At 45.6% G+C, this 27,208-nt stretch overlaps 1 protein-coding gene across 19 annotated transcripts in view; it reads right to left on the bottom strand.

Moving 5' to 3' along the window:
• SNX29 (sorting nexin 29) overlaps positions 1-27,208 on the bottom strand; it is a 597,554-nt gene that overhangs the window by 76,698 nt on the left and 493,648 nt on the right. For all 19 annotated transcript variants that reach the window (XR_001752024.3, NM_032167.5, XM_017023874.2 and 16 more), the window contains one exon: positions 19,731-19,871. Coding sequence is in view for 18 of the 19 variants with exons in the window: in NM_032167.5 (NP_115543.3) it covers positions 19,731-19,871 (141 nt within the window). In the remaining variant the exon portion in view is untranslated. The remainder of the gene's footprint in view (positions 1-19,730; positions 19,872-27,208) is intronic.

The following is a 27,208-nucleotide window of genomic DNA, read 5'->3' as shown; positions in this document are numbered from 1 at the left end:
GATGTCTGATGATACTGAGCTCCCGACTCCAGCCACTCCTGAAGTCATTCCTAAGCCTCTCGTTACACAAGCCAATACATGATCTTGTTAGATTAAAAATAGTTTGACTTTGGTGTTGCCACTTGCCGTAGAAAGCATCCACGATGATACACTCTCCCGTGTGCTCCCACACCCTAATTTAACCTCCTCCATAGCACTGACTCGGAGGCCCTATGAGACTGTGAACTCTCTGAGGGCAGGAAATGTATCTTATTCGTCTCCAAGGCCACGAGACTTGGTGTATGATAGATATTCAATACAGGTTTGTGAAATAAAAAATGAAGGAATGTTTATCTAGAAATTAATGAAGCTTTTCGTTTACTTTTTTACTTCAGGGCCTTTCTGCCAAGAACTCTTAAGATGCCTTAGGATCTTGGTTGCAGCCAGGTGGCTGTCCTCCCCAGAGCCCTTGTTGTTCAGTCCTCTGAAGTCATTGGTCCTGGAGATAACAGGGAGGGCAGGTCCCGACTGCTGAGAAAGTCCAGGGCCCCGGATCCTACCATTACCATGCTACCTGTTCACTTGGGCTTCACCCAAGGCCACACTCATCTCCGGACCCCTTCCCAACAGTGGTGAGGGGCAGGAGCACCTGGACATCAAGAATCGAGTGCATGCCTGAACCTGTCCATTACCCATGCTTCTGCAGCTTTGCTCATGCTTTCCCCTCCCTGAAACGCTCTTCCCTTGTCTACTTAATTATTCAAAGCTCAGAGGAAAAAAAATCACCTGCTCCAAAATGTCTTCCCCGAACCCTGCAGGGAACCAAATTCAAAAGCCATCAGAAGGCCGAGGCGGGCGGATCACTTGAGGTTAGGAGTTCGAGATCGGCCTGGCCAACATGGTGAAACCCTGTCTCTACTAAAAATACAAAAATTAGCCAGGCATGGTGGCAGGTGCCTGTAATCCTAGCAACTCTGGAGGCTGACGCAGGAGAACTGTTTGAACCCAGGAGGCAGAGGTTGCAGTGAACTCAGATTGCACCACTGCACTCTAGCCTGGGAAACAGAGCAAGACTAGGTTTAAAAAAAAAAAAAAAAAAAAAAGCCATGAGAGCCAAGGAGGTGTGAGAAGCAGGGCAGGCTGGTGACTTGGGACCATGTGCTCCAGCGAAGGGCCCAGCCTCCATTGAGTGCCTCACAATGGTTGCAACGAGGAAGCGTGAGATAAAGAGGAAGACCAGCCTCGCTTGCTGGGGAGGCCGTGTACCCTGAGCTGCAGGCATGGGTTTATCGTACTTATCATCACCACCACCACGGAAACACAACCCCTGACTTGGGTGGAATGTGACCTGTGAGTTGCCAGCTGACTACCCCTGTGTCACAACTTTGTGCAAGGCACAATTTTAGGGCGCTCACACTGCATAGTATAGTCACCTACAAATGAGTGTGACCTTTCTGCAAGTCCCCATCTCTGCCAAGTCAGGCTCCACGTCTCCATGTCTGCTGATTCCCCTCTCAGTTCTCAGTACCTCTGCGCTCACTGAAACCTGCAGACATTTTTTTTTTGACAGAGTCTCATCCTGTCGCCCAGGCTGGAGTGCAGTGGCATGATCTCGGCTCACTAAAACCTTCACCTCCTGAGTTCATGAGATTCTACTGCCTCAGCCTCCAGCTGGGATTACAGGCACCTGACACCGTATCTGTCTAATTTTTGTATTTTTAGTAGACATGGGGTTTTACCATGTTTGCCAGGCCAGTTCAAACACCTGACCTCAAGTGATCCACCTGCCTTGGTCTCCCAAAGTGCTGGGATTACAGGCGTGAGCCACCACGCCCAACCAGCTGCAGACATTCTGTCTCTCACATTCCCCTCACAGGAGACTCCCAGCCACACTGACCCCATCCAGCTGTCCTCTACAGGGCAGTGATATCTCCAAAATACAAACTGGATTTTGTCACTACCCTGTTTAAAATCCTTCAATGGCTCCGCCGGCCAGCACACAAACACACTTACCATGTTTAAGCAAATAACTATGTTCATAAAATGTGCTAATGCTATAAAACAAAAAAATAAGGGGCAAAGAAAGAAAGCATGTAATGGAGGGAACTAACTTATTCTGGGTAGCTGAGAAACAGTTCTTCCAGGAGACAGAATTCCAGATGACGCCAGGCATGGTGGCTCACACCTGTAATCCCAGCACTTGGGGAAGTTGAGGCGGGTGGATCACTTGAGGTCAGGAGTTCGAGACCTGGACAACATGGTGAAACCCTGTCTCTACTAAAAATACATAAACTAGCTGGACGTGGTGGTGCACGTCTGTAATCCCAACTACTTGGGAGGATGAGGCAGGAGGATTGCTTGAACCTGGGAGGTAGAGGGTGCAGTGAGCCGAGACCATGCCACTGTGCTCCAGGCCTGAGCAACAGAGCAAGACTCAAAAAAAAGAAAAAAGAAAACGAAAGAATTGCCATTGAGACCTGCCAGAGGAGAAAACCAGGAAGGGTGAGGGATGGAGTATCCTAAAGGAACTGCATGTGCAAAGGTCCTGAGGCAAGAAAGAGCTTGAAGGCTTCAGGGGTCACATGAGGTGAGGCAGGGATGCTAACTCCTCGGCCCCAGGGATACTGACGAGATTAAATGAGAATGCGCAGGCAGTCCTTGGCACCCTGCCTGGCATGCAGTTAGCACTCAATAAATAGCCACCATTCTTATTAAGATGGTGCCACTGATGTGAAGCAGGGCTAGTTTATTTTCTGCGGATAGGAAAAAGGCGGCCCAGCTCACAGCGGAGAGCTAAGAGCCAGCATCAAAGGCTCCTCTGTGACACAAAACACTTCCCATTTTCACCAGCTTATGAGGATCAGGCAGTTAACTCAAAAAAGCTTCAAAACTCATTACAAAAAAGAACTTCACTTTCCCTCAGAAGGCAGAAGAGCTGAAAAATTAAATGATGAGAAAGTTCCAAGGGGGTGGTTAAGCTGAACGTGGCTGTGAGCTGGTAGAGAAGATGGGCTCCTCAGCAAGTGAGATTGGGCCCTGTACTGCCAGGACACTTAAAGCTTGCTGGACCCCGTTTTGGAGAGAGGAGCTTTGGAGTGGGTTTACTCTGGATGCAAGTGAAAGAATGCAATCTGCGGCCCAACGTTCCTTCATGCCAATACCCACAAATCCAGCCTCCACTGACGCAAGAGGCCATGCCCGTCTCTCAGTGCGCGGAGTCTGATGCGGAACTGCTCCCCCAGAAAACAAGTCCAGCGAGGAAGGAGACAATTAAACAAGCGTGTGCACCAATGCTTTGGGGGCTGCAAAGGGAACGGGGGCCAGGCACGCAGGAGGCACAGGGAGGACGCAGAGATGGTGGGGTCTAGTGTGAATGGAGCCAGAGTTGCTACTCCAATGAGGGGACAGCAAGAGTTCGCTGTTGTTGTTGAGACAGGAACTCACTGTCTTGCCCAGGCTGGTCTTGAACTCCGGGCATCAAGGGATCTTCCCACCTGAGCCTCGCATAGCACTGGGAGCTCTATCTTTGTAGACAAAGGATGGCATCCAGAAAACATAAAATGATCCTAGAAACAAATAAGAAAAATACCCCAGAAGAAAAATAGCCAAAGGACACACAAAGGCAAGAAAGGGAAGAAGAAATCCAAATGGCTAAAAATCACGAGCAGATCATCAGTCTTATCGGTAACTGGGAAAATGTGAATCAAAAACAAAATGAGGGCTGGGTGCGGTGGCTCACGCCTGTAACCCCAGCATTTTGGGAGGCCGAGGCGGGTGGATCATCTGAGGTCAGGAGTTTGCAACCAGTCTGGCCAACATGGTGAAACCCCGTCTCTACTAAAAATACAAAAATTAGTTGGGCGTGGTGGCATGCGCCTATAGTCCCAGCTACTTGGGAGGCTGAGGCAGGACAATCATTTGAACCCAGGAAGCGGAGGTTGCAGTGAGCCGAGATCGTGCCACTGCAGTCCAGCCTGGGCAAGAGTGAGACCTTGTCTCAAAACAACAACAACGCCCTCTCTCACCACTCCTATTCAACATAGTGTTGGAAGTTCTGGCCAGGGCAATCAGGCAGGAGAAGGAAATAAAGGGTATTCAATTAGGAAAAGAAGAAGTCAAATTGTCCCTGTTTGCAGATGACATGATTGTATATCTAGAAAACCCCATCGTCTCAGCCCAAAATCTCCTTAAGCTGATAAGCAACTTCAGCAAAGTCTCAGGATACAAAATCAATGTGCAAAAATCACAAGCATTCTTATATACCAATAACAGACAAACAGAGAGCCAAATCATGAGTGAACTCCCATTCACAATTGCTTCAAAGAGAATAAAATACCTAGGAATCCAACTTACAAGGGATGTGAAGGACCTCTTCAAGGAGAACTACAAACCACTGCTCAAGGAAATAAAAGAGGAACATTCCATCAAATGGAAGAACATTCCATCCTCATGGGTAGGAAGAATCAGTATCATGAAAACGGCCATACTGCCCAAGGTAATTTATAGATGCAATGCCATCCCCATCAAGCTACCAATGACTTTCTTCACAGAATTGGAAAAAACTACTTTAAAGTTCATATGGAACCAAAAAAGAGCCCGCATTGCCAAGTCAATCCTAAGCCAAAAAGAACAAAGCTGGAGGCATCACCCTACCTGACTTCAAACTATACTACAAGGCTACAGTAACCAAAACAGCATTTTACTGGTACCAAAACAGAAATATAGATCAATGGAACACAACAGAGCCCTCAGAAATAATGCTGCATATCTACAACCATCTGATCTTTGGCAAACCTGACAAAAACAAGCAATGGGGAAAGGATTCCCTATTTAATAAATGGTGCTGGGAAAACTGGCTAGCCATATGTAGAAAGCTGAAACTGGATCCCTTCCTTACACCTTATACAAAAATTAATTCAAGATGCATTAAAGACTTACATGTTAGACCTAAAACCATAAAAACCCTAGAAGAAAACCTAGCCATTACCATTCAGGACATAGGCATGGGCAAGGACTTCATGTCTAAAACACCAAAAGCAATGGCAACAAAAGCCAAAATTGACAAATGGGATCTAATTAAACTAAAGAGCTTCTGCACAGCAAAAGAAACTACCATCAGAGTGAACAGGCAACCTGCAAAATGGGAGAAAATTTTTGCAACCTACTCATCTGACAAAGGGCTAATATCCAGTATCTACAATGAACTCAAACAAATTTACAAGAAAAAAACAAACAACCCCATCAAAAAGTGGGCGAAGGATATGAACAGACACTTCTCAAAAGAAGACATTTATGCAGCCAAAAAACACATGAAAAAATGCTCATCATCACTGGCCATGAGAGAAATGCAAATCAAAACCACAATGAGATACCATCTCACACCATTTAGAATGGCGATCATTAAAAAGTCAGGAAACAACAGGTGCTGGCGAGGATGTGGAGAAACAGGAACACTTTTACACTGTTGGTGGGACTGTAAACTAGTTCAACCATTGTGGAAGTCAGTGTGGCGATTCCTCAGGGATCTAGAACTGGAAATACCATCTGACCCAGCCATCCCATTACTGGGTATATACCCAAAGGATTATAAATCATGCTGCTATAAAGACACACGCACACGTATGTTTATTGCGGCACTATTCACAATAGCAAAGACTTGGAACCAACCCGAATGTCCAACAACGATAGACTGGATTAAGAAAATGTGGCACATATACACCACGGAATACTATGCAGCCATAAAAAATGATGAGTTCGTGTCCTTTGTACAGACATGGATGAAGCTGGAAACCACCATTCTCAGCAAACTATCACAAGGACAGAAAACCAAACACCGCATGTTCTCACTTATAGGTGGGAATTGAACAATGAGAACACATGGACACAGGAAGGGGAACATCACACACCGGGGACTGTTGTGGGGTTGGGGGAAGGGGGAGGGATAGCATTAGGAGATATACCTAATGCTAAATGAGGAGTTAATGGGTGCAGCACACCAACATGGCACATGTATACATATGTAACAAACCTGCACGTTGTGCACATGTACCCTAAAACTTAAAGTATAATAATAAAAAAAAATAAGTCACATAAAAAAAAACAACAGCAGCAACAAAATGAGATACCATTTTATACCCATTGTGTTGGTGAAATATAAATAAAATTTAAGTTGAACAAAGCCAAGTGCTGTTGTGAATGTGAAACAATGGGAATTCTCACCCATGATTGAGAGTGAACCACTGGTGCTGCCATCTTGGAGTACAATTTGGCAAGAGCTAGGCAAGTTGATGACAAGCATACCTTATAAGCCAGGAACCTCATTCATGGGCACACAACCTAGAGAAACCGAGTCTCAAACATGTATACCAAGACGTGTACAAGGATGCTAATGCCACAATGACCAAATAGGGAAAAATTGCAAACGACCTAAATGTTCATCAAAGAGAGAGTACATAAATGCAACACTGAGTAGTCACACCATAGACTATCGGCAAGTGTAGCAGTTAATGCATTAGAATGCCCTGCATCTAAATGAATACATCTCAAGAAATGTGATATTGGTGAAGAACAGCAGTTGTGAAAGGCTACATAAAGAATAAGTATCATTGATGTGAAGCTGTAAAAAGAAAACCCTCTCATAATCATATGTAATATAAGGACACAGAATGATTCCGCAGAGTGGTTCCCTTCTGGGAGAAAAGGTGCAAAGAGGGTTTAGCTGTATTTACAGTGTTTAATTTCTAAATGTTAACATTGATTAATCTGGATGGTTATACGTGTGTGTTCATTACATTTTCCTGTGTATTCCAGGGCACACCTGAAACATTTCCTAATAATTTTTTAGGTGCTTGGAAGCAAATATGATAAAATGTGAACAGCTGTTAATTTGGTGTGGTGGGAACACAGGTGCCTGGTATCCTATTCTTTGTATTCTTTTTCTCTTTCTTTAAAAAATCATCACCGTATGGCTGCTTTGGGACACTGTGTGGCAGTATGCACTACAGTGGAGTATAAACATACCCTGTGACCAGCAAGTCCATTCCTAAGGATTTCATCCCACAGAAACCAGGGCTCAGAGCCAGCAGAAGAAGTATGTAAGAATTGTTAATTACAGCACTATTTGTAATTGAGCCAGACCAGAAAACATTGAACTATTCATTAATAGTAAAAGATAAATAAACTGTGGTGTATTCACACAATGGACTATTACAGAGCAATGAAAATGAACCAACAATTGCTACTTGCAACAACATGGAGGAAGCTCACAGATGTGATGCTGAGAGAAAGAAGCCAGATACAAAGGAGTACATACAGGCAAAAGCACACTATGGTATCAGAAAGCAGCACAGTGGCCCTTTAACAAGACAAGGCTCTGGAGATCTGATAATGGTCTATTTCTTGGTCTATTGCTGTTTGCCTAGGTGTGTTCATTTTGTGAAAATCCATCAAACTGTACCTTAAAATTGGAGGTATGCTATACCTCAACTTAAAAAACAGCCAAAAAAGCCCTGGCGTTGTGGCTCACGCCTGTAATCCCAGCACTTTGGGAGGCTGAGGTGGGCAGATCACTTGAGGCCAGGAGTTTGAGACCAGCCTGGCCAACATGGAGAAACCCCATCTCTACTAAAAATACAGAAATTAGCCATGCATGGTGGTGCATGCCTATAGTCCCAGCTACTCAGGAGGCTGAGGCACAAGAATTGTTTGAACCCAGGAGGTAGAGGTTGCGGTGAGCCAAGATCACACCACTGCATTCCAGCTTGGGTGACAGAGTGAGACGCAATCTCGAAAAAAAAGAAAAAGCCAAAACCCACAACAAGAAGTAGAGAAGTGAACGGGGGAGGAAGAAGAGAGAATGAAAGAAAGGAAAAGCAAGCATGCCTATGTGGGAGTTGTCACCAATCACAAAAGAAAAGAAATCAAATGAGTGCTTCCTCCCTGTAGACCTGGTTTTTATGCTGGCGTTTGAGGGCTAAGGACACACCGCACCATGGGAAATACTTGACTGGCATAAGCTTGTTCACTCTTCACCACAGCCCATGCTGTCAGTGTGCTCACCACCATGTGACAGCTGAGTGCCACAAAGGCTGAGGACTTGTCCAGGGTCACACAGCCAGTGTGGGAGGGGGCAGGATCTGAATCCACAGCCCAAGCTCTTTCCCTGTGTTGCATGGTTTCTAAAGATGCAAGTGGCCCATGACACTGCAGAGAAGGACGAGAGAAAGGGAGAGGATTCCTCCAGCCTGGGGTTGTGAACTCCAAAAAGGTGGCTTCAGGAAATAACCAACTGGTGGCAACTTGAGAGGCTGAATTTTTTTTTTTTTTCCAGCGTGTTAGAGATGAACCAAGATTGCAATACACAGTTCTCAATTTGTTTTTTGTGTTTTTCTGCCGTTTGAAGTTCTCAAATATTAATGAGAATACTGAAGGGAAAGGTAGCAATTATTCTCCAACTACTCAAAAGGGTAAGAGCCAAGAAATACTCTTCTAAGTTGTGATTTTAATCAGTTGTCTGAAAATGTGAGGAACAAAAGCAGATAGAATACGGGTTAAGTCTTTTCAGAAGGCTTTTAGAGCTGGAAGGAGAGACTAAATAAGGATATACAAGGAAACTCACAGCCCCAGAAATACTTTGGCCAACGTTTAATGCCCAACGGAGTCAAGTTGTCTTATAATTCATTCAATCACAAAACCAATGCGTTCTACCTAGAAATAGGGTCCTCGAACTCAGCCTGAAATGAGTGAAGTGGGGCAAGCTGGCCAATTCTGGTGGGTTCACTGAGAACACCAGACCCCAGAAGTGTCAAACAAATTTTCTTTGTCACCAGGAACAACTAAGGCAGAGTCTTCATGGAAATTCCTGCAAGTATCAGCTGGTCAATGTCCAGCGGGCAGGTGAGATGGCGCCACATGGGAACTGAGCATCTATGAACGACCATGAATGACAGTGTCCTGGAAGTGAAGGGACATAGGACGAGGGAGAAAGGAAATTAACCACCCAGCAAAGCCGGTGCTACACAATGACTTCCACACAGCTTCAGTTCGTTATTCAACAAACAGGTTCGACTCTGTACCCGGCACTGTGACAGATCCCAAGAAGGCAAAGACTCAAGTAAGACCAGGCTCTGCCCTCTAATTCTATGGTGTCATGGGTGCGGGGACGGGGGGGACTGCGGGAAGGAAGAACTGTCAATCAGGCAACCGTGATGCGATGGAGTATGAGAAATGAACCCAGGGAAGGGCGGCTCATGTTTTTGAAGTCAGGGAAGACTTCCTGGTGGAGGTATGAAGGCCACAATGGAGGGTGGGACCAGCAAGTTCTACAACTTGAGACCACCAAGAGGAGTCTCTTCAATTCAGCTTCTCTGTGTGCTATACCTAGAAAATATGCAGGATGGGAACAGAACAGCAAATATGCTTTCAGTGGCTGGCTCTGGATTCTTTTGTCTATAAATGACCTTAATTTTTTTTCTTACTGGATTTTAATTTGATATTATAGAAAAGTCCTCCCAAGAAACCACACTAATTAAACATATATATACCTATGCATAGGCCTCCACATACATATTCTGAGTCTGAAGCTCACCAAGGTCTCTCCCCTGAGATGTTTTTTTTCTGGCAAGATGACGTTAGTGGTTGCTCTCCTGGAAAATATCTTAAGAGGCTTTTACTGTATTAAAGAGAAACACAAATGTGGGATGTATAATGAGCCCAGTTTCTCTCTTCTTCTCGATTAATACATTAAGTACTAGGAATATTTACATGGTGGTTGGCAGAGTGTCAAATGAGACACAGGCTTGAGTTTATGGCTTCATTCACTCAGAGCTGCTTTTCGCTCCCAAATTTCTCTGTGGAGCCCTAGCAGTTGCGGGGGATGGTGTGTGAACTCCCTGCATCTCTGCTGCGAACAGGTGGGGGGAGTCCCACCATCTTCTGAATTGTCTTCACATGACGAACTTTACGGCTGAAACCTGTAGTAGGTGACTCTCTGCATCACCAGCTCCTAGATTTGGGCATGGACGTGTGCGGCTGGCTTCTCCACGGAGGGCTGGGTGGTGCGGCGGCATTTGCAGAGTTCGGCTCAATTCCTGGCTCCGGCACTTACAAGCTACGGGAGCTTGGGCAAGATGCTTATTGCCCCTCAGCCCCAGTTTCCTCATCTATAAACACTTTATATGGAGCCTGATAAGAACTGCATGATGAGAAAATAAATGCAAAGTTCCCGGTGTGTCTGGCAAGCCGGCATATGGTGGCTGGTGTTAGTGTACATGGAAACACTGGCTTTGAGGTTTTCGGCGGGACCATCCATGTCGGGCTCACCCACTGCACAGGTTCAGGGTCCTGGCATCGCTGGGGATGAGAACGCACGTGTGTGTCTGCTCGCCCCACTTCACTACCAGCCCAATGCCCCTTACCTAACAAACCTGAACACAGATCTTACCATGTGCCAGACACTGTTCTGAGCACTTTACAGATGTAACCACCTTCAATCCTCATAAACACAATACTAGAAGTGGCATGAGTATTCCTAGTATATAAAAGGGGAAACAGGCACAGAGAGGTCAAATAACGTGCCCGAGGCCACACAGATAGTACAGCCTTAAGGATCTTTTTCTTTTTCTTTGACTCTCAGTGCTTATTACAGCCTCTTACTTATAGAGTTGGTAAAGTCACATTGAAAGAATAAATGCACAAATAAATGAACGAGTAACTGTCACCCCACAAGTTTAGGATTAACAGGGAAGTTCTTACAAGCCTGTGGATGAACTATGAGGGCAGCACTCCCAACTCTAAAAATGGCCCCTAAGCAAGGGTGGAGCGGTGGGTGTGGGCGGAGAGACAGGCCATCAGAGCCCCTCCTCACCCGCCCCCTGCTCTCCACGGCACTGAGGTTGAGGAGTTGACTTAGGGAGTTAATGTGAATGTCCATCAAATGGGCAACGGCTGACTGATTCTGCCCGTCCAGCCTCCAGGATCCTCTACAGCCGACCTTCTTGTGGGATAGGCTGTGCTCACAGAGGCTGAAGGCAGATCACCTGCCTGGGCCCAGATATCAGCCTTGACGCTGCCAAGCGAGATGGCCCAAGCAAGTCACTTCACATCCCTGTACCTCTGCTGCCCCATTTGTAAAGTGGGCTAACAGTAAGAGTTGTCTACCCAGGACAAGGAAGAAGGAAGAAGGAAGAAGAGGTGTACGGTAGGCAGGATGAGGCCCACCCTCTCCCAAAGTGTCTATGCCTCAATCCCCAGAACCTGTGAATATGCTACTGTACAGGGGCCACTGCAGAGGAGGTGAAATTAAGGGCCCTGACACAGGGACATTACCCTGGATAATCTGGGTGGGCCCAATCTAATCACATTACTGCAAAGTGGAGAACTCTTCCCTGCTGTGATCGGGGGAAGATCTGAGAACAGAAGAATGGTGGGAGAGAGGCAACACGGAAGACAGAGGAAGGGGCCACGAGCCAAGAAATGCAAGCAGCCTCTAAGCTGGAAAAGGCAAGGAGAAGGATTATCCCCTGGAGTCTCTAGAAAGAAATGCAGCCTCGCTGACGCCTTCATTTTAACCTAATGAGGCTCATATGGAATGTCTGGCCTCCTGAACTGTACTAGAATAAATGTGTGTTGTTGTAAGCCACAGGAAACTGATCCGGGATGTACAGAAAGGATGCCTTGCATTGATTCTGCTGGCCCACCTACTCCCTCTCCTAGATTTCTGGCTGGGAGCCCTGTGGCCCCTCAAGCATTTCGCCTCCTGCAGGAAGCCTTCTCTGCTTCTCTCTCCTCTATCTGCAGATTGCACCAGGTTCCCTGCAGCTCATATAGCTCCTGAGGACTCATTTACATGTCATCCTCCCTACAAGACTGCCAGCTTCTTAAGGACAGAGACCGAACCTTAATTCGCCTTCAATGCCCCTGCACCCAGCACAACAGCCCTGCACTCGGTACACATTTGCCTCTGGTTCCTGCATGAGGTCCACTCGCTCCCACCTCTCCACTGACCCTGCCGTCTCGAGGGCTGTGTTTCCAATGGCACCTCCCAAGAAGTTGCAAAGGGGCTTCCCACGGCTCGGCGAGTACCAGTCGGTTCCTCTACCACACACGGGTGTATGTGTTTTTAATGAGGATTTTAATGCATAATTTCTCCAACAAGTTGAATTATCTGTGGCTCCAGGGAAAGTGATTTGCCTTGCCTTAATGCCAAATGAACTTTTGGAGACGGAATCTATTATCCTAAGAAGGAATGACAGTCTCTCTATTCTCATTCGCTCCCTGAGCCATAATGCAGACTTTAGTAACATCATCAAAAACGAGTCCTTTACCTAAGCCCTCATGCTGCTAAAGCCCATTTGGACAGGCAGCTCACCGGTCAACTCCCTCAGACCATTAGAAAGCCACCTTTCCGGTCTCCAAAAGCCTGCTTGGCCTCATGCCCACTCTGCAAAAAATATTCAGCCAAAAGTCGGGTGAGAACAACCTCCCGAGTCACCTTGAAAGTTTATGTACTCACTTTTGGAATTGAGATTTTTTGAATGTGTGCCAACACCCAGCAAAGCGAAGAAGAAAATAAAAGGGAAACTCTTCCACTGAATTTCTGTTTGTTTGTTCATTAATTTAGACCGTGAGTATCTTGGTATGTCAGGTGCTATTCTAGGAGCTGGGGACAGAGCAGTGAACAGAAACAGACTCCAGTCCTGGTTCATGAGCTTCCATGCTGGTGCAGAGAGACAGATCATATTGAAGTGCACAAATAAGTCATTTCAATCAATGGTATACACTGGGAAGAAAATTAAAGCAGAGGAAAGGGCCAGAGAGTGACTGAGGGCAGCAGAGTGAGGGGTGTCAGGAAAGGCCTCTGCCTAAGGAGGGCAAATCTGAACTGACATCTGGTGAATGGGAGGAGCCGTCCATGTAGGAATCTGGGAATGGCCATTCCAGGTACAGGGTGTGACAGGTGCAAAGGCCCCGAGGTGAGATCAGTGTAGATGTCTTAGGACACCAGTGTGGCTGAGTGGAGAGGGTGGGGGCAGGGCATGAGATAAGGTAGGAGAGGGAGGTGAGGGAGCTACCAGGGGACACCTCTGAGGCCACAGTAACGAGTCCCCATTGTAAGTACCAGGGGTGTCACTGGAGGGTCTTAATCTACAGCTGACACAATCAGATTTATGTTGTACAAATCTCACTCTTGCTACAGCGTGGAAAATAGGCTACAGGGAGGCAAAAGAGAAAAAGGCCAGCCACTGCAGGTGTCCACACTGCGGTGACAGTGGCTTGGAGTTAGAATAATCTAAACAGGAGCCAGGGGCAGTGGTTCATGTCTGTAATCCCAGCACTTTGGGAGGCTGAGGTGGAAGGATGGCTGGAGCCGGGGAGTTCGAGGCTGCAGTGAGCCATGATCGCACCGCTACACTCCAGCCTGGGTGACAGAGAGAGACCCTGTCTCAAGCAAAAAAGAGAGAGGGAGAAAGAGAGAATGACTTAAGCAGGGATGCAGGAAGCAGGTGAACTGCGACTCCTTTGAAAGTGGAGTCCATGGGACAGGCATGTATAGTTTTGGATGGGTGAAGCTGTGCTCTTACTATCTCAGTCCCGCTGAACAATGTCATTCAACAGAAACGTCATCCCAGCTTGCGTCATTAGAGCTGGTCACTAACATCTGGAGTGACTCCTTTGCTCCCTGGGCATTAGGCATGGCCAAGGAACTTGCTCTGGCCAATGAAATGCAAGTGGAATTTCCATGTATCACTTCCAGGCAGCAGCTTTAGAAGCCACCACCTGACTTGCCCCTACTCCTTGTTCTTGTTGCCACATGCATGCAGATGGAGCCTCCAGCAGCCTGGAACCCAGCACTGTGATGAGCAGAGCCCAGAGCCAACCCACGATGGACAGAGAACATGAGCCAAAGATATACCCTTGTTGGCTTAAGTCACCAAGATCTTGGAATTGTTACCTTGGCCTAAACAAACCCCACACCTGTGATATATAAAAGTTAATGGGCCAGATGTGGTGGCTCACGCCTGTAATCCCAGCACTTTGGGAGGCTGAGGTGGGTGGATCACGAGCTCAGGAGTTCGAGACCAGCCTGACCAACATGGTGAAACCCCGTCTCTACAAAAAATACAAAAATTACCAGGCGTGGTGGCACACACCTGTAATCCCAGCTACTCAGGAGGCTGAGGCAGCAGAATCACTTGAACCTGGGAGGCGGAGATTGCAGTGAGCTGAGATCACACCACTGCACTCCAGCCTGGGTGATAGAGCAAGACTCCGTCTGGAAAAAAAAAAAAAAAGAAAAGTAAATGGCCAGGTGCAGTGGCTCACACCTGTAATCTCACCACTTTGGGAGGCCAAGGTGGGCGGATCACCTGAGGTCATGAGTTCAAGACCAGCCTGGCCAACATGGTGAAATGCCATCTCTACAAAAACACACAAAAATTAGCCAGGCATGATGGCAGGTGCTGTCTCCAAAAAAAAAAAAAAAAAAAAAAAAAAAAACTTAATAACTTCAATATGTATCTATTGTGGCTTGACTCAGCTATGAAAGAATAAACTTCATCGAATGGTGAACTGATATTCAGGCCAACTATTTCAACATGATTTGAACTTGATACAGTATGTGAAGGCATGGACACCTCCAGGGAGAGCTCTGGGTATCCTGTGAATATATAATTACACACATGCATGGCATATTAAAGCAACAGATTCTTTGGTAAAGACAAATGCTGGGTCCACACACTATACAACATGCTAATTTTGTCAATTAAAAAAGATTCAAATTGGGATTAAGATCACTTTCAACTATAAAACTGTCAGACAATCACCAATGATGGCATTGTAGGGGAAATATATAGACATTCAGGCTAGAAGGATACTCATCTGACAAATGAGAAAGGCTAAACTACGCTTGCTATTTCCTTGAATAATGTCTAGGTCTATGGATTCTGCAGTGAGTCATTTAATGGGTTCAAGGCTTAAGAGTAACAAGGCATGCAAAATTCAATCAACCCTGGCCAGGAGCAGTGGCTCATGCCTGTAATCCCAGCACTTTGGGTGGCTGAGGTGGGAGTAGTTCTTGAGCCCAGGAGTTTGAGACCAGCCTGGCGAACATGGTGAAACCCTGTCTCTGCAAAAAACTGAAATATCAGACAGGCATGGTGCTGCATGCCTGTGGTCCCAGCTACTTGGGAGGCTGAAGCAAGAGGGTCACTTGAACCCAGGAGTTTGAGGCTGCGGTGAGCTACAATTGCATCACAGAACTCTAGTCTGGGTGACACAGCAGGACTCTGTGAAAGGAAAGGAAGGGAAAAGGAAAAGGAAAAGGAAAAAGGAAAAAGAAAAAGGAAAAGGAGAAAGAAATTAATTAAATCAACCCAAACACGTCTTGTCTAGACGTGTGCCACAATGGTCCAGGCGGACAAGTGAGTTATCCTTGAAGTAACCCAATCAAAGAAAAGATTCTGACGTGGCGGATTTTTCTGGGCCAATGTAGAATCAACACACTCCAAAAATTTTGCTCTTGGGATATTAAAGCAGGTGTCCTGAGTTATTAGGCCCAGTGAGGCCAGCATAAGCTTGGCCTTGAAATGAATTCACCAGTGGCCCCTGTTGGGTGTTGAAGGTTCTGAATCTTGACTCAATCCTCCTTTGGAAATGGGAAGAATCACTAAGATGTGTCCTCAGCAGCAGCCAAGGTGGATTTCAGGGAAGTGGGTATGTCTTAGCCAAATGCACAGAAAAAGAAAGAAGGAATCAAAGGACAATCATGGGGCCGGGTATGGCCCCTCCTGTTACTCACACCTGTAATCCCAGCACTTTGTGAGGCCGAGGTGGGAGGATCACTTGAGATCAGGAGTTTGAGAACAGCCTGGCCAACATGGCAAAACCCTGCCTTTACTAAAAATACAAAAATTAGCTGAGTGTGGTGGTGGGTGCCTATAGTCCCAGCTACTCGGGAGGCTGAGGCAGGATAATCACTTGAACCCAGGAGACGGAGGTTGCTGTGAGGTGAAATTGTGCCACTGCACTCCACCCTGGGCGACAGGGTGACATTTGGGGTGTGTGTGTGTGTGTGTGTGTGTGTGTGTGTGTGTGTGTGTCTATATGTATATGTACATATGTGTATATATATGTGTGTATATATGTGTATATATATATGTATATATGTGTGTGTATATATGTGTATATGTGTGTATGTATATGTGTGTGTGTGTGTGTATATATATATATATGTATAAAAGACAATCACAGTTCAACCAGCTTATTAAAAGTTAATTAAAAGTTAAAAGCTGCACAGGCGAGAAATGGAGCTGTGGCCCCAAGACTGCTCACGAACTGGGTGGTCAGATCCACCCCCACCAGTGGGAGCAGGACCACAAATCTGGTTAAGAACCAGCTGGTGCACTTGTACCAGCTGATCATTACTGGGCCAGGCCCACTAAGATGGTGTCTTTTATTCTCAAGCTTGTCTATTTGCAAATAGGGTTATGTTGGGGGGATAAAAGCACATTGCTTGGCTGACACAGGCTTCATAGGAGAAAGGTTTGCTGCTGTGAGGAATCAGCCTCGGGATGAGCAGGGACAGATTGTCTCTCTAGCCTGGGGATGAGGGTGGAGAGCATGAAGCAGACTCAGTTCTCTCCTCCAGAAGCACAGGTTGTAGTGAGTTGACACAGCGTCACTGCACTCCAGCCTGGGAACAGAGTAAGACTTTGCCTCCAAAAAACCAAACAAACAACAACAACAAAACAGTTCCCAGCTCCTGCACAGCAGAGACCCAGGACAGCTTCATGCCCTCTTTCTACAGGATGCAACACCAGAAAAACCCTCCCACTCCTCAGAGCTCAGCCTCATCTCACTAAACTCAAATCCAGTGTTTTCAGGACTGATGAGATTTATTTTGTCTTAAGTTTTGTGTAACTGGGGGGCTTGAGGAGGCAGGAGGTGGGAAGGGAGTTGTTTGAGGCTGCAGAGAAAGCATGGAGCAATGTCTAACATGTGGTGGGCGCAATAATGGCCCCCACAGATGTCCACACCCAAATCCCCAGAACCTCACATGACCAAAGGGACTCAGCAGATGTGGTTAAGTTAGGGATCTTGAGACAAAGGGTGGGGTCGGGGGATTAATTTGGATGATCTGGGTGAGCCCAGTGTGATCACAGGGAATCTAAGGGGAATTCTAAGAGGAAGAGGGTCAGAACCAGAGAAAAATGTGACTATGATGATGGAAGCAGAGGGCTGAGTGATGTCTCTGAAGACAGAAGGCCATAAGGCAAAAATGAGGGTGGCCTTGAGAAGCTGAAAAAGCAAGGAGCAAACTCTCTCCTGGGGCTCCAGAAGGAAGAGGCCTGGGTGACGTCTTGATTTTAGCTCTGTGACGCTCATTTTGGACTTCTGACCTCTCGAATTGTAAGATAATGAATTTGTTTTAGTCCCTGCATTTGTGGGGATTTGTGACAGCAGTAAGAGGAAACTAACACAGCAAGTGTTGACTTAATGTTGTTGACAGGTTCTAACTAAGACTTTAAGCTAAATACAGTACTGTATGCCCTAGGAACTGAACTCTTGTTTGTATCCATTTGTCCATGGTAAAGTTCATTTCATAACACAATATGTCATTTTGCTTAAAGCTGCAGTTCCCAGGCACCCCTGGATAATGTTAAGTCACGACTCACCCCAGACAATGTTAAGTCAGGACAATGTTAAGCCACAACCTAAGAGTTTTCCCCTTCCAAATCCCCTCATTTCCACCTTGTGCTACAATGGCTTTCCCTTAGCACAAGACACAGGCAGATTCCGTGAAGAAGCTGTCACGGAAGGGCCACTCCAGGATTGTGTTTCTTGCACATAAGAATGTCTTATAATTTGATAATACGCTGGTTAGCAGCATGTTGTTTTGTGACATTTTAGGACATTCTGAATAACTCCCAAGATTTGTATGAGCCTATGGGTCATTAGATTAAATCAATATATAATTTTCCCCTCTTTTCAAAAGAATTCTTGTACTCTTTGCTATGAACAAGTATAGAGTTTCTGTCTGCCACGTGTAGTGGTTCAGCTCTACTTTTCCTCAACAGAAAAATGAAGGACAAATGTATTCTGGGCCTGGGATAAACCTGCTTTGTAACTGTTTATGTTCAAATCGAGCAGACCTTGGCGTGATCAGGTTTCAATCTGTTTTATACATAGAAATCTACACACATGTAAATGTAAGGGTTGGGAATAGATTTCCCTATGAAATTCCCAAGTGCCAGGAGTGGGTTATGGAAACTCTTGCTCTGTGTTTCTGTGATAAAGGTCAAGGAAATGCTAGCACGGTACCTCCTGAAGACAGAAACTAGGGATTCGCCCCATATGGCATCTGCCACATGGCTTTGTCAAAAGATAGAACGGCAGTCCTCATACTTCCTCATGAACAGCATCACCTAGAGGGCTTGTTAAACCCAGACTGCTGGGTCTCAGCCCCAGAGCGTGTGAATCAGCATGTCTACGGTGAGCCCAAGAATGTGCATTTCTAACCAGCTCCCAAGGGCTCCTGCTGCTGCTAGCTGGGGTCACACTTTGAGAACAACCATGGCAGAGAGATCATGCTCAATACAATGCCCGATGTCTTACACATCCTGAGAAAGGTCATGGCTCTACCTTCCAATCAGACTGTCCCTGCCAAGCTATTGAACACATACCGAAATTGATGAAGTGCCCCTGTCTCCTTCTTGACTCTAAGCCAAAGATTCTCCAGTTTGGTCGCAGAGTGCAATCACTTAGAGAACTATTCATCCCCTCCATGCCCAGGCCTCCCTTCAGATCGATTCAATCAGAATGGGGATGGAGGTAGGGCACAGGCAGTCCTCAGTGGTTTTCAAAGCTCCCCAGGGGATCCAAAGCACGGCCATGACAGAGAACTGCTTCCTAAACAAACATGAGGAGTGACATCATGATGCCGCCTGGCTGAAGCTGACCATTTGACAGGGCTCCAAGCCCGGTCTAGACCCAGGTCTGTCTTCTCCAGGGCTGAACCCAGCCCCTTGCACAATGACACACAATTGGAGCCCAATTAATGACTGCTGAGTGAATAATATTAATCAACCAATGAGCTTGCAGAGGGCTAGCACCTCCTTCCTCAAGGGAACCGGGATGAATAAACAGCGACAAATTGGGTCATCATAAATCATTAACCTTCATGAGGTGAATAACCATATAACAACAACAACAACAAACTCCTCTGAGAAAGTTCTACTCCACAGTCACAAGTTGAAGTGAACATCATGACAACTACGGATGAAAACTAGAAAAGCATTTTTTGGTCCAGAACAGGGGTTGGCAAACTAACCTATAGGCCAAATCCAGCTGCTGTCTATTCTTAAAAATAAAATGCTATTGGCACATAGCCATACTCATTTGTGTCTGTACTGTCTACGGTTGCTTACACAGGACCCCAGCAGAGGTGAGTATTTGCCACTGAAATGGTAAAGTCCCCAAAGCCAAACATATTTACTCTCTGGCCCTTTAAAGAAAAAGTTTTCCAACTTCTTGCCCTAGAGAAATAAGAGGACATACACACACACATGACGTAATGGTGACCATCTTTAGGTGGTGGAATTATGAATGGCTATTTCTTTTCTCTATTTTTTTCTTATCTCCACCAACTTTTCTTTAAGGAGCATGTGTTTTTAAGCAACGGACTAAAGAAGAAGAATAAATAATCCATTTTAACGCAGGCAGTGACAAGTGGGCTTCCCAGCACGGGATGGTACCTTGTTTCCAATGGCCTTTTTGGGTGGGAAGTTGTAGGCCCTCACTTGAGGGTACTTGTTTTGTAACTTGTGGTGCAAACTCCTGAACTCTGTATACCGGCGATAAATATTCCATTCATCGTCTTTTATCCGGATGTAGACCTGTCAAGAAAGAGAAAATGTGAATTCCTCTTAAACCCTTATTATAAAGGAGTAGGATTTCGGCTATGCTTTCCCCATGAAAACCAACTGCAGCAAGAGTCACATCTGTGTCACACACCACTGGATGCCCAGTTCCTGGCATAGAGCAGGGATTTATTAGTGCTAGCTGAACAGATGGGTACAGGCAAGAATGACTAAATCAGGCAAGTTATGGGAAGAACATACTGTATGCTATTTTCCCAACATCAACAGAGATCCACAGCCCAATTAATAGCAGAGATGCATGTTTCATGTTGCTGTCATGTGTGTATTGCAGCACTAACAGCGTGCTGGTGAGAGGCTAGTCAACCTTTCTGGACACTTGTTTCCTCATCTGTAAAACAGAGCTGAGAGGAGCACCTCGCTCCAAAGGTGGTTTGGAGGGCAATGTGGTGGTGCCTGGGACCACACCGACCACCACACAGATGAGGTGGAATTCAGTTTCAGAAAGAAGGGAGGGGGCAAGAGCTGAGATCTGCCCCACTAGACCGAATGCCGTGTCCAGATGGGATAAGCATAACTGGGACATAGAATTTCTTTATTTTAATCAAGTTATGACTCCTTAGAGAATACTCTGGGGATACAGAATGTAAGGGCTGTTTCATCAGCTTTTTGCAGGCCTTAGCACCTTCCAGGGGCAAGTAGCAACTTCATCACAAGGAAAAACAGAGAAGCAGGAGAGACATCAATCCACTTTTTAAAATTACATGAGTTAAGAACAGCCCAGAGAGAAAAGTCCCCAAGGATAAAGGGCTGTTGTAATTTACACTCCATGAGTGTCAATACACATCTTTAAAACCTCTATGACCATGAAAACAGGCATCTCTAATGTGAGTGATAAATTCTGTTCCTACGTGAAAGCCACCCATCAACCCCAAACACAGACATTATGTGTTCAAACTCTAGTATGGCGACCATAGAATGTCTCACATTATTCTGTGAACAGGAGGAAGGACTAGAGACTAAAACCACGACATTTCAATTAGCGAATGGATAGATGTTTCCGATGGAGTGAGATGGAGAAACAGAATGCCTATCAAGTTTACAGAAGTCCCGGGGTCTCTGATGACCTTAAGGAGCAATAATGTCATTCCATTATTGCTGACGTCACATCACCAAACCTATAATCAGATCAGTTACTCAAGGCTTCTTCAACAAACGAGAAATACCCATCTCTAATTTGTTCAAGCTAATGTTTTAGGGGTCTTTTATGAGCAACTGAATGCAATTCTCATCATATATATATATATATATATATATATATATGTATATATATATATATATATATATATATATTTTTTTTTTTTTTTTTTTTTTTTTTTTTTTTTGAGAAATGTCGCTGTGTCCTTTGCTCACTTTTTTTTTTGAGACGAAGTCTCACTCTGTTGCCCAGGCTGGAGGGCAGTGGCACGATCTCAGCAACCTCCACCTCCAAGTTCAAGCGATTCTCCTGCCTCAGCCTCCCGAGTAGCTGGGATTACAGATGCCCACCACCACACCTGGCTAATTTTTTGTATTTTTAGTAGAGACAAGGTTTTGCCATGTTGGTCAGGCTGGTCTTGAACTCCTGGCCTCAGATGATCTGCCTGCCTTGGCCTCACAAAGTACTGGGATTATAGGCGTGACCCACCACGCCTGGCTGTCACCCTATATATCTTGACTGGCCCATACCTGCTTATGATATATTCTTATAAAAGTCCAAACTTCCCTTGGAGAGTGGCAAGTACAATCACTTCTCTGATCATCATACATAATACTAATTATCTAGATCGGGGTGGGCAAACTATGGCCCATGGGCCAAATTCAGCCACATTCATTTGTTTTGGCCGCTTTTGAAATACAGACAGTCCCTCACTTAGGCTGGTAATTGTCTTGCAATTTTTCAAGTTTATAATGGTACAAAAGCAATAAGCATTCAGTAGAAACCACACTTCAAATTTTGATGTTTTTTCCAGGCTAGTGATGTGCAGTATGATACTTTACATGAGCTGTTCAACACTTTATTATAGAATAGGCTTTGTGTTAGATGATTGTGCCTAACTATAGGTGAATGTAAGTGTTCTGAACAGGTTGAAGGTAGACTAGGCTGAGCTATGATGTTCACTACATGAAGCCTATTAAATGCATTTTCAACTTACGATATTTTCAACTCACAATGGGCTTACCGGGACATAACCCCATCATAAGTCAAGGAGCTTCTGTACAGCAGAGTTAAGAAGCTGAAATAGACCATACAGCCTGCAAAGCTACAAGTATTTTTTCTGGCCTTTACAAAAAGAGTTTGATAACCCCTGATCTAAATAATCAAGAAGTCATTATTGTTATTTTTCCACCAACATATCCAAGATCTGGTGTGGAGAAGGTAGTCCTTTCCAAATCTTACCAACCACTGGGTGGGTGGCATTAACCATCTGAGGCCCAGGAATCCCGAATGCAACCAAAGCTTCTCCAGTGATTCTGACGAGTGGGCAATTTCAGGAACCCCTGATGTAATGCACAAACTCACCCATCAGACAAGCAGTGCAACCTTTCTGGCCATTCATTTCCTCATCTACAAAATGGAGCTGAGAGCAGCATCTCCCACCCAAAGTGATATGGAGAGAATTCAGGTCTACGAATAGCGCAGCTATGCCAGGATCACATGGACCACCCCACAGATGGAGAGGAACTGGACTTGGGTTAGGAATGAGTAGGCTGAGGTCAAGATCCGGACTTGCAATTACCAGCTCAACTGAACAAAAGGTCACATCCAGATGGGCGTACCAGCACACGTGGGCGTACTCCTTCTTTATTTTAACCAAGTAGAGAAAACATGAGCACTGCTTCACCAGCCTTTTACAGGCCCTAGCACCTTCCAAGGATACACAGCAACTATAATACATCACAAGGGAAACCACGGAAGTGGGAGAGAGATCAATGCACTTTAAAAAAATTACCCGAGTTAAGAACAGCCCACAGGGTAAAGCCTCCAATGATAAATTGCCATCGTAATTTGAATCAGTGAATACCAATACACATCTTTAAAACCTCGTTAATGTAATAATAAATACAAGTCTCTCTCCTGTGAGTGATAAATTCTGACTCTACATTTTTCATAATGTATATGCAAGAGCCCACTGTTTTTGCTCCCTGGAGGCCTCAGTCTCCCTCTTCTCCAACTGCTCTCTCTCCACCTTCCACATGGGCACCTCCTCTCCTGCCCACGCCCTGCCTCTCCCCGGAACACACATGCGCAATCCCAGGCCTGCATGTTTCATGTTTAGGCCAATGACTCCAAAATCTGTATCTCTAGTCTGGACCTCTGATACAAACTCCAGACCAGGACGTGATATTCCCTAGGTACCTAAAACTCATGAGGCCTAAATCTGCACCCAGGATCCGCCCACCTATTATGTGTTGAGTCCTATCCCAGGCACTACGCACCTCACTGCCCAGCCGCAAGTTAATCTGCAAGGCAGATGGTACGAACACTCCCTTTTCAGCTGAAGTAATGGGCTCAGAGAGGTCAGATCACTTGCCCAGGGCAGGTGGGGAGATAAGGAATTTGAACCCACGGCTACCTGCCCTCTGCCCTCTAACACTTTCTATCACAGTGTTACCAGACAGGGGCTCCAATCCAGACCCCAAGAGAAGGTTCTCGGATCTCAAGCAAGAAAGAATTTACGGCGAGTCTGTAGAGTAAAATGAAAGCAAGTTGATTAGGAAAGTAAAGGAATAAAGAATCGCTACTCCATAGACAGAGCAGCCCCGAGAGCTGCTGGTTGCCCATTTTTATGGTTATTTCCTGACTATATGCTAAACAAGAAATGGATTATTCATGCCTCCCTTTTTCAGACCATATAGAGTAACTTCCTGATGTTGCCATGGCATTTACAAACTGCCACGGTACTGGTGGAAGTGTAGCAGAGAGGACACCCAGAGGTCACTCTAGTAGCCATCTTGGTTTTGGTGGGTTTTAGCCGTCTTCTTTACTGCAACCTGTTTAATCAGCAAGGTCTTTATGACCTGTATTTTGTGCCAACTTCGCATCTCATCCTATGACTTAGAATGCCTAACCGTCCGAAAATGCAGCCCAGTAGGTCTCAGCCTCACTTTACCCAGCCCCTATTCAAGATGGAGTTGCTCTGGTTCAAACACCTCTGACAACAGCAGGCTGCTCTGCTGCAGTGACCCAGAATCCTGAAGGCACCAGGAACCCCAGGCCAGCAATGTGGGTAGCTGGGACCAGAAGCCCTTGCCTCGTTCCCCTGAAGCCCAGGCACCTCTTTGCAGATCCTGTGTTCTCAGAAAGGTCTCCTTGCTGTCAGACATTCCAGTCTCACCTCATTTGTGCCTCTCCCTTTGGATCTAATCGAAGCTAGTCTAATGCCATTAAAATTACTCAAAATTACTCAAAATTACCCAAATGGCTGATCCACAACAACAGTGCTTCAAACATCCAAAGTTAGGAAACTTTCTCTGCAAATTAAGTTGTCCTTGAATTACATATACTTAACTAAATCATGGACTTATTTCACTAAGGATTTCAGAGGGCTTAGGCCCAAAATTGTTAGAATTTTTTGTTTTGTTTGTTATTTTAAAAGCCTCTCCCCTCCAAATTAAGTTCGATCAGCTCCAATTCCTTCTGCTTGAGCCATAAAGATAATAATTCCTTGGAGGGATAAAAAGAGTTGACCTCTTCTGACACAACCAAGTTTCCTTTTAAAACAAGCAATAAAAAGCCACTTTATGTCGGATCTCCTTGACTCAGCAAAAGAAGATTAAATAGGAGGGTAATATCTGTAATCGGGCATCGGGGCAAACCCTTTCTTCTTCATTTTAAGAGGAAGTTCAAATCTGAAGATTTCTTTTCCACTGAGAAGAATTACCCTCATGATGTCTGTAATAACAGTGGAGGTAAAGGAAGGTTAAGGGGAGAAAAAAATGCAAAAACCTCAGTCCGTCAATGAACAGAATCCAAAACAAGCTCTAGTAGAGATAAGGTCTCAAGGAGACGCTTTCTTTTAGAAGATGAAGAGCGTCTACCAGAGTGTTCCTATGAGACTTGACTGTGCCCTGTTCTAATCAATAGTGCTCTCCCGCAATGCTAAGCACTATCCCCTAGATTTCCTCCCTGTTTTTTTCTTTTTTTTTTTGTTTTTTTTTTTTTTGGTTTTTTTTTGAGATTTAGACTCGCTCTGTCACCCAGGCTGAAGTGCAGTGGCATGATCTCAGCTCACTGCAACCTCCACCTCCCAGGTTCAAGTGATTCTCCCGCCTCAGCTTCCTGAGTAGCTGGGATTACAGGTGCCTGCCACACGCCTGGCTAATTTTTGTATTTTTGTAGAGACGGGGTTTCACCATGTTGGCCAGGCTGGTCTTGAACTCCTGGCCTCAGGTGATCTACCCACCTCGGCCTCCCAAAGTGCTGGGATTACAGGCGTGAGCCACCACCCCCAGCCTTCCCCTGTTTTTGAACTTGACCTAAACGGAACCAGTGTGTGCTCCTCTGGGTCTAGTTTCTTTCACTCAGTACTGTGGACGTGAGATGCAGCTGTGTTTCTGTGTATGGCCCTCATGTTGCTTTGCACTAATGAATAGTATTCCACTGTATGAATATTTCCCTGTTTGTATCCACCTGTTCTGCTGGGGTGGACATTTAGGTTGTTTCAAGTTGAGACTTTCATGAATAAAGCAACTATGAACATTTGCGTGTGTGGCTTTTGCACTTGTGTCTTTTGCAGTCATAGACCTCAGTGTGAAAAGTGAAATCATAAAGCGAGGAGGAGAAAACATGGTAGAATGTCTTCATGACCTTGGGCGGGAGAAAGGATTCTTGTGCAGGGCACAAAGGAGTCTTCTGGGTGCTGGAAACATCCAGGATCTATATCTGGGCAGTGGTTATAAAGGTCTATACAGAAGTAAAATTAATTGAACCATAAACTTAAGATTGATACACCTGATTGTATTTTATGTTAATCCTGAATTTAAAAGCAAAAACAAAACATAGCCCTGCCTTCGCTGTCCTCGGGAGAGTGAGCTTTCACCCTAACTTGTGGGGCAGGGATGTCTAAGCCAGGCCGTAGATGGGGCAGGAGGTAGTGCCAAGGCTCTGTGGGTACACATCCACGTGGACCTGACACATCGTCATACGTCAGCATCGGGAGGGAGCCCAGACACTGGATTCTGGCCTCAGTGAGAAATGGGTTCGAATTCCAGCTGCACCCCTTGCCAGCCAAGTGATCCTAGGTAAGTTAATTCACCTCTTCAAGCCCTGAGTCTCTATTTGGATAAATGAAGATAGTGCTAGAGGCTAAGTCTTTGGAAGAGGAGGAGAATTAAGCAATTATATTCAGGACAACATTTTGTACACGTACTAAAACATCTAACCACCAAGCAGTCAACATTCCAGGGTAAAATTTATCTCAGACACACACACAAACATGCACTCCCATAAGCGGGTGGAAAAGAAGATGTGGGGAGGGAGTCAGGCAGACAGACAGAAAGAATGAAGATGTAAAAGCTTCCTTTAAGTGGCTGAAGCCCTCAATCTGGTTTAAGGGTGTGCCAAGCATAGGAACGGGCGTCTTTAGCCCAAAGCATGTCAGATCTCGGGTGCTCCTGCAAGAGGCAGAACGGCAGTGTGAAGGCGCACAGCTACATAGGGAGGGAGGCCTGGGTTCACGTCCCCACAGTTATCCTTTTCGGCTGCTGTGACCCTGGGGATGACACCCCACATTGAGACTCAGCTTCTTCATCTGTAAGGCAGGCCAATGCCAATGTCACTGGGTGGTTGTGAGGTGTCGTGCCTCGCCCATGCCTGGCAGGCAATAAGCAATGGCAGCTGTTAATATTGTAACCCTTATCACCTTCATCATCGGCTGCCTTTGTGTATATGAACTTCCCTATTACAGAATTAGGGCTAATTATAGGATGTGCAATCATGAAATTAAAGCAGGTAATTACCATGGCTAATTAATTGTCAAATGCTAGGCAGGCGGGGAAACACAAACATAAAGCGTGCTCTGTGGATTGGACAGCTAAGCATCCCCTCCGCTTTCAGAAAACTCAACAGAAACAGCAGAGTTCAGGAAATGACCTTCTCGAGTGGGTTTCTGAGTGCTAAAACAAAACCCGGGAAGCGTTCCCCGGGCTTCTGACTCAGAACAAGCTCGGTGCACCTCTCTGCTGGCTGCAGGCCGGCCTGGGCATTTATCCAGTCCCTGCCACGCAAGCCCCCAGGTTCCCGGGCAAGAGTGCTATTTTAGGAGGAGGACCTCGTAGGAGATACTTGATGGATGTTACAAACCCCTGCAAGG

Source organism: Homo sapiens, chromosome 16 (genome assembly GCF_000001405.40).
Source record: "Homo sapiens chromosome 16, GRCh38.p14 Primary Assembly".
NCBI lineage: Eukaryota > Metazoa > Chordata > Mammalia > Primates > Hominidae > Homo > Homo sapiens.
The sequence above is the reverse complement of the archived record's forward strand: the minus strand, read 5'-3'. Positions and strand labels throughout refer to the sequence as shown.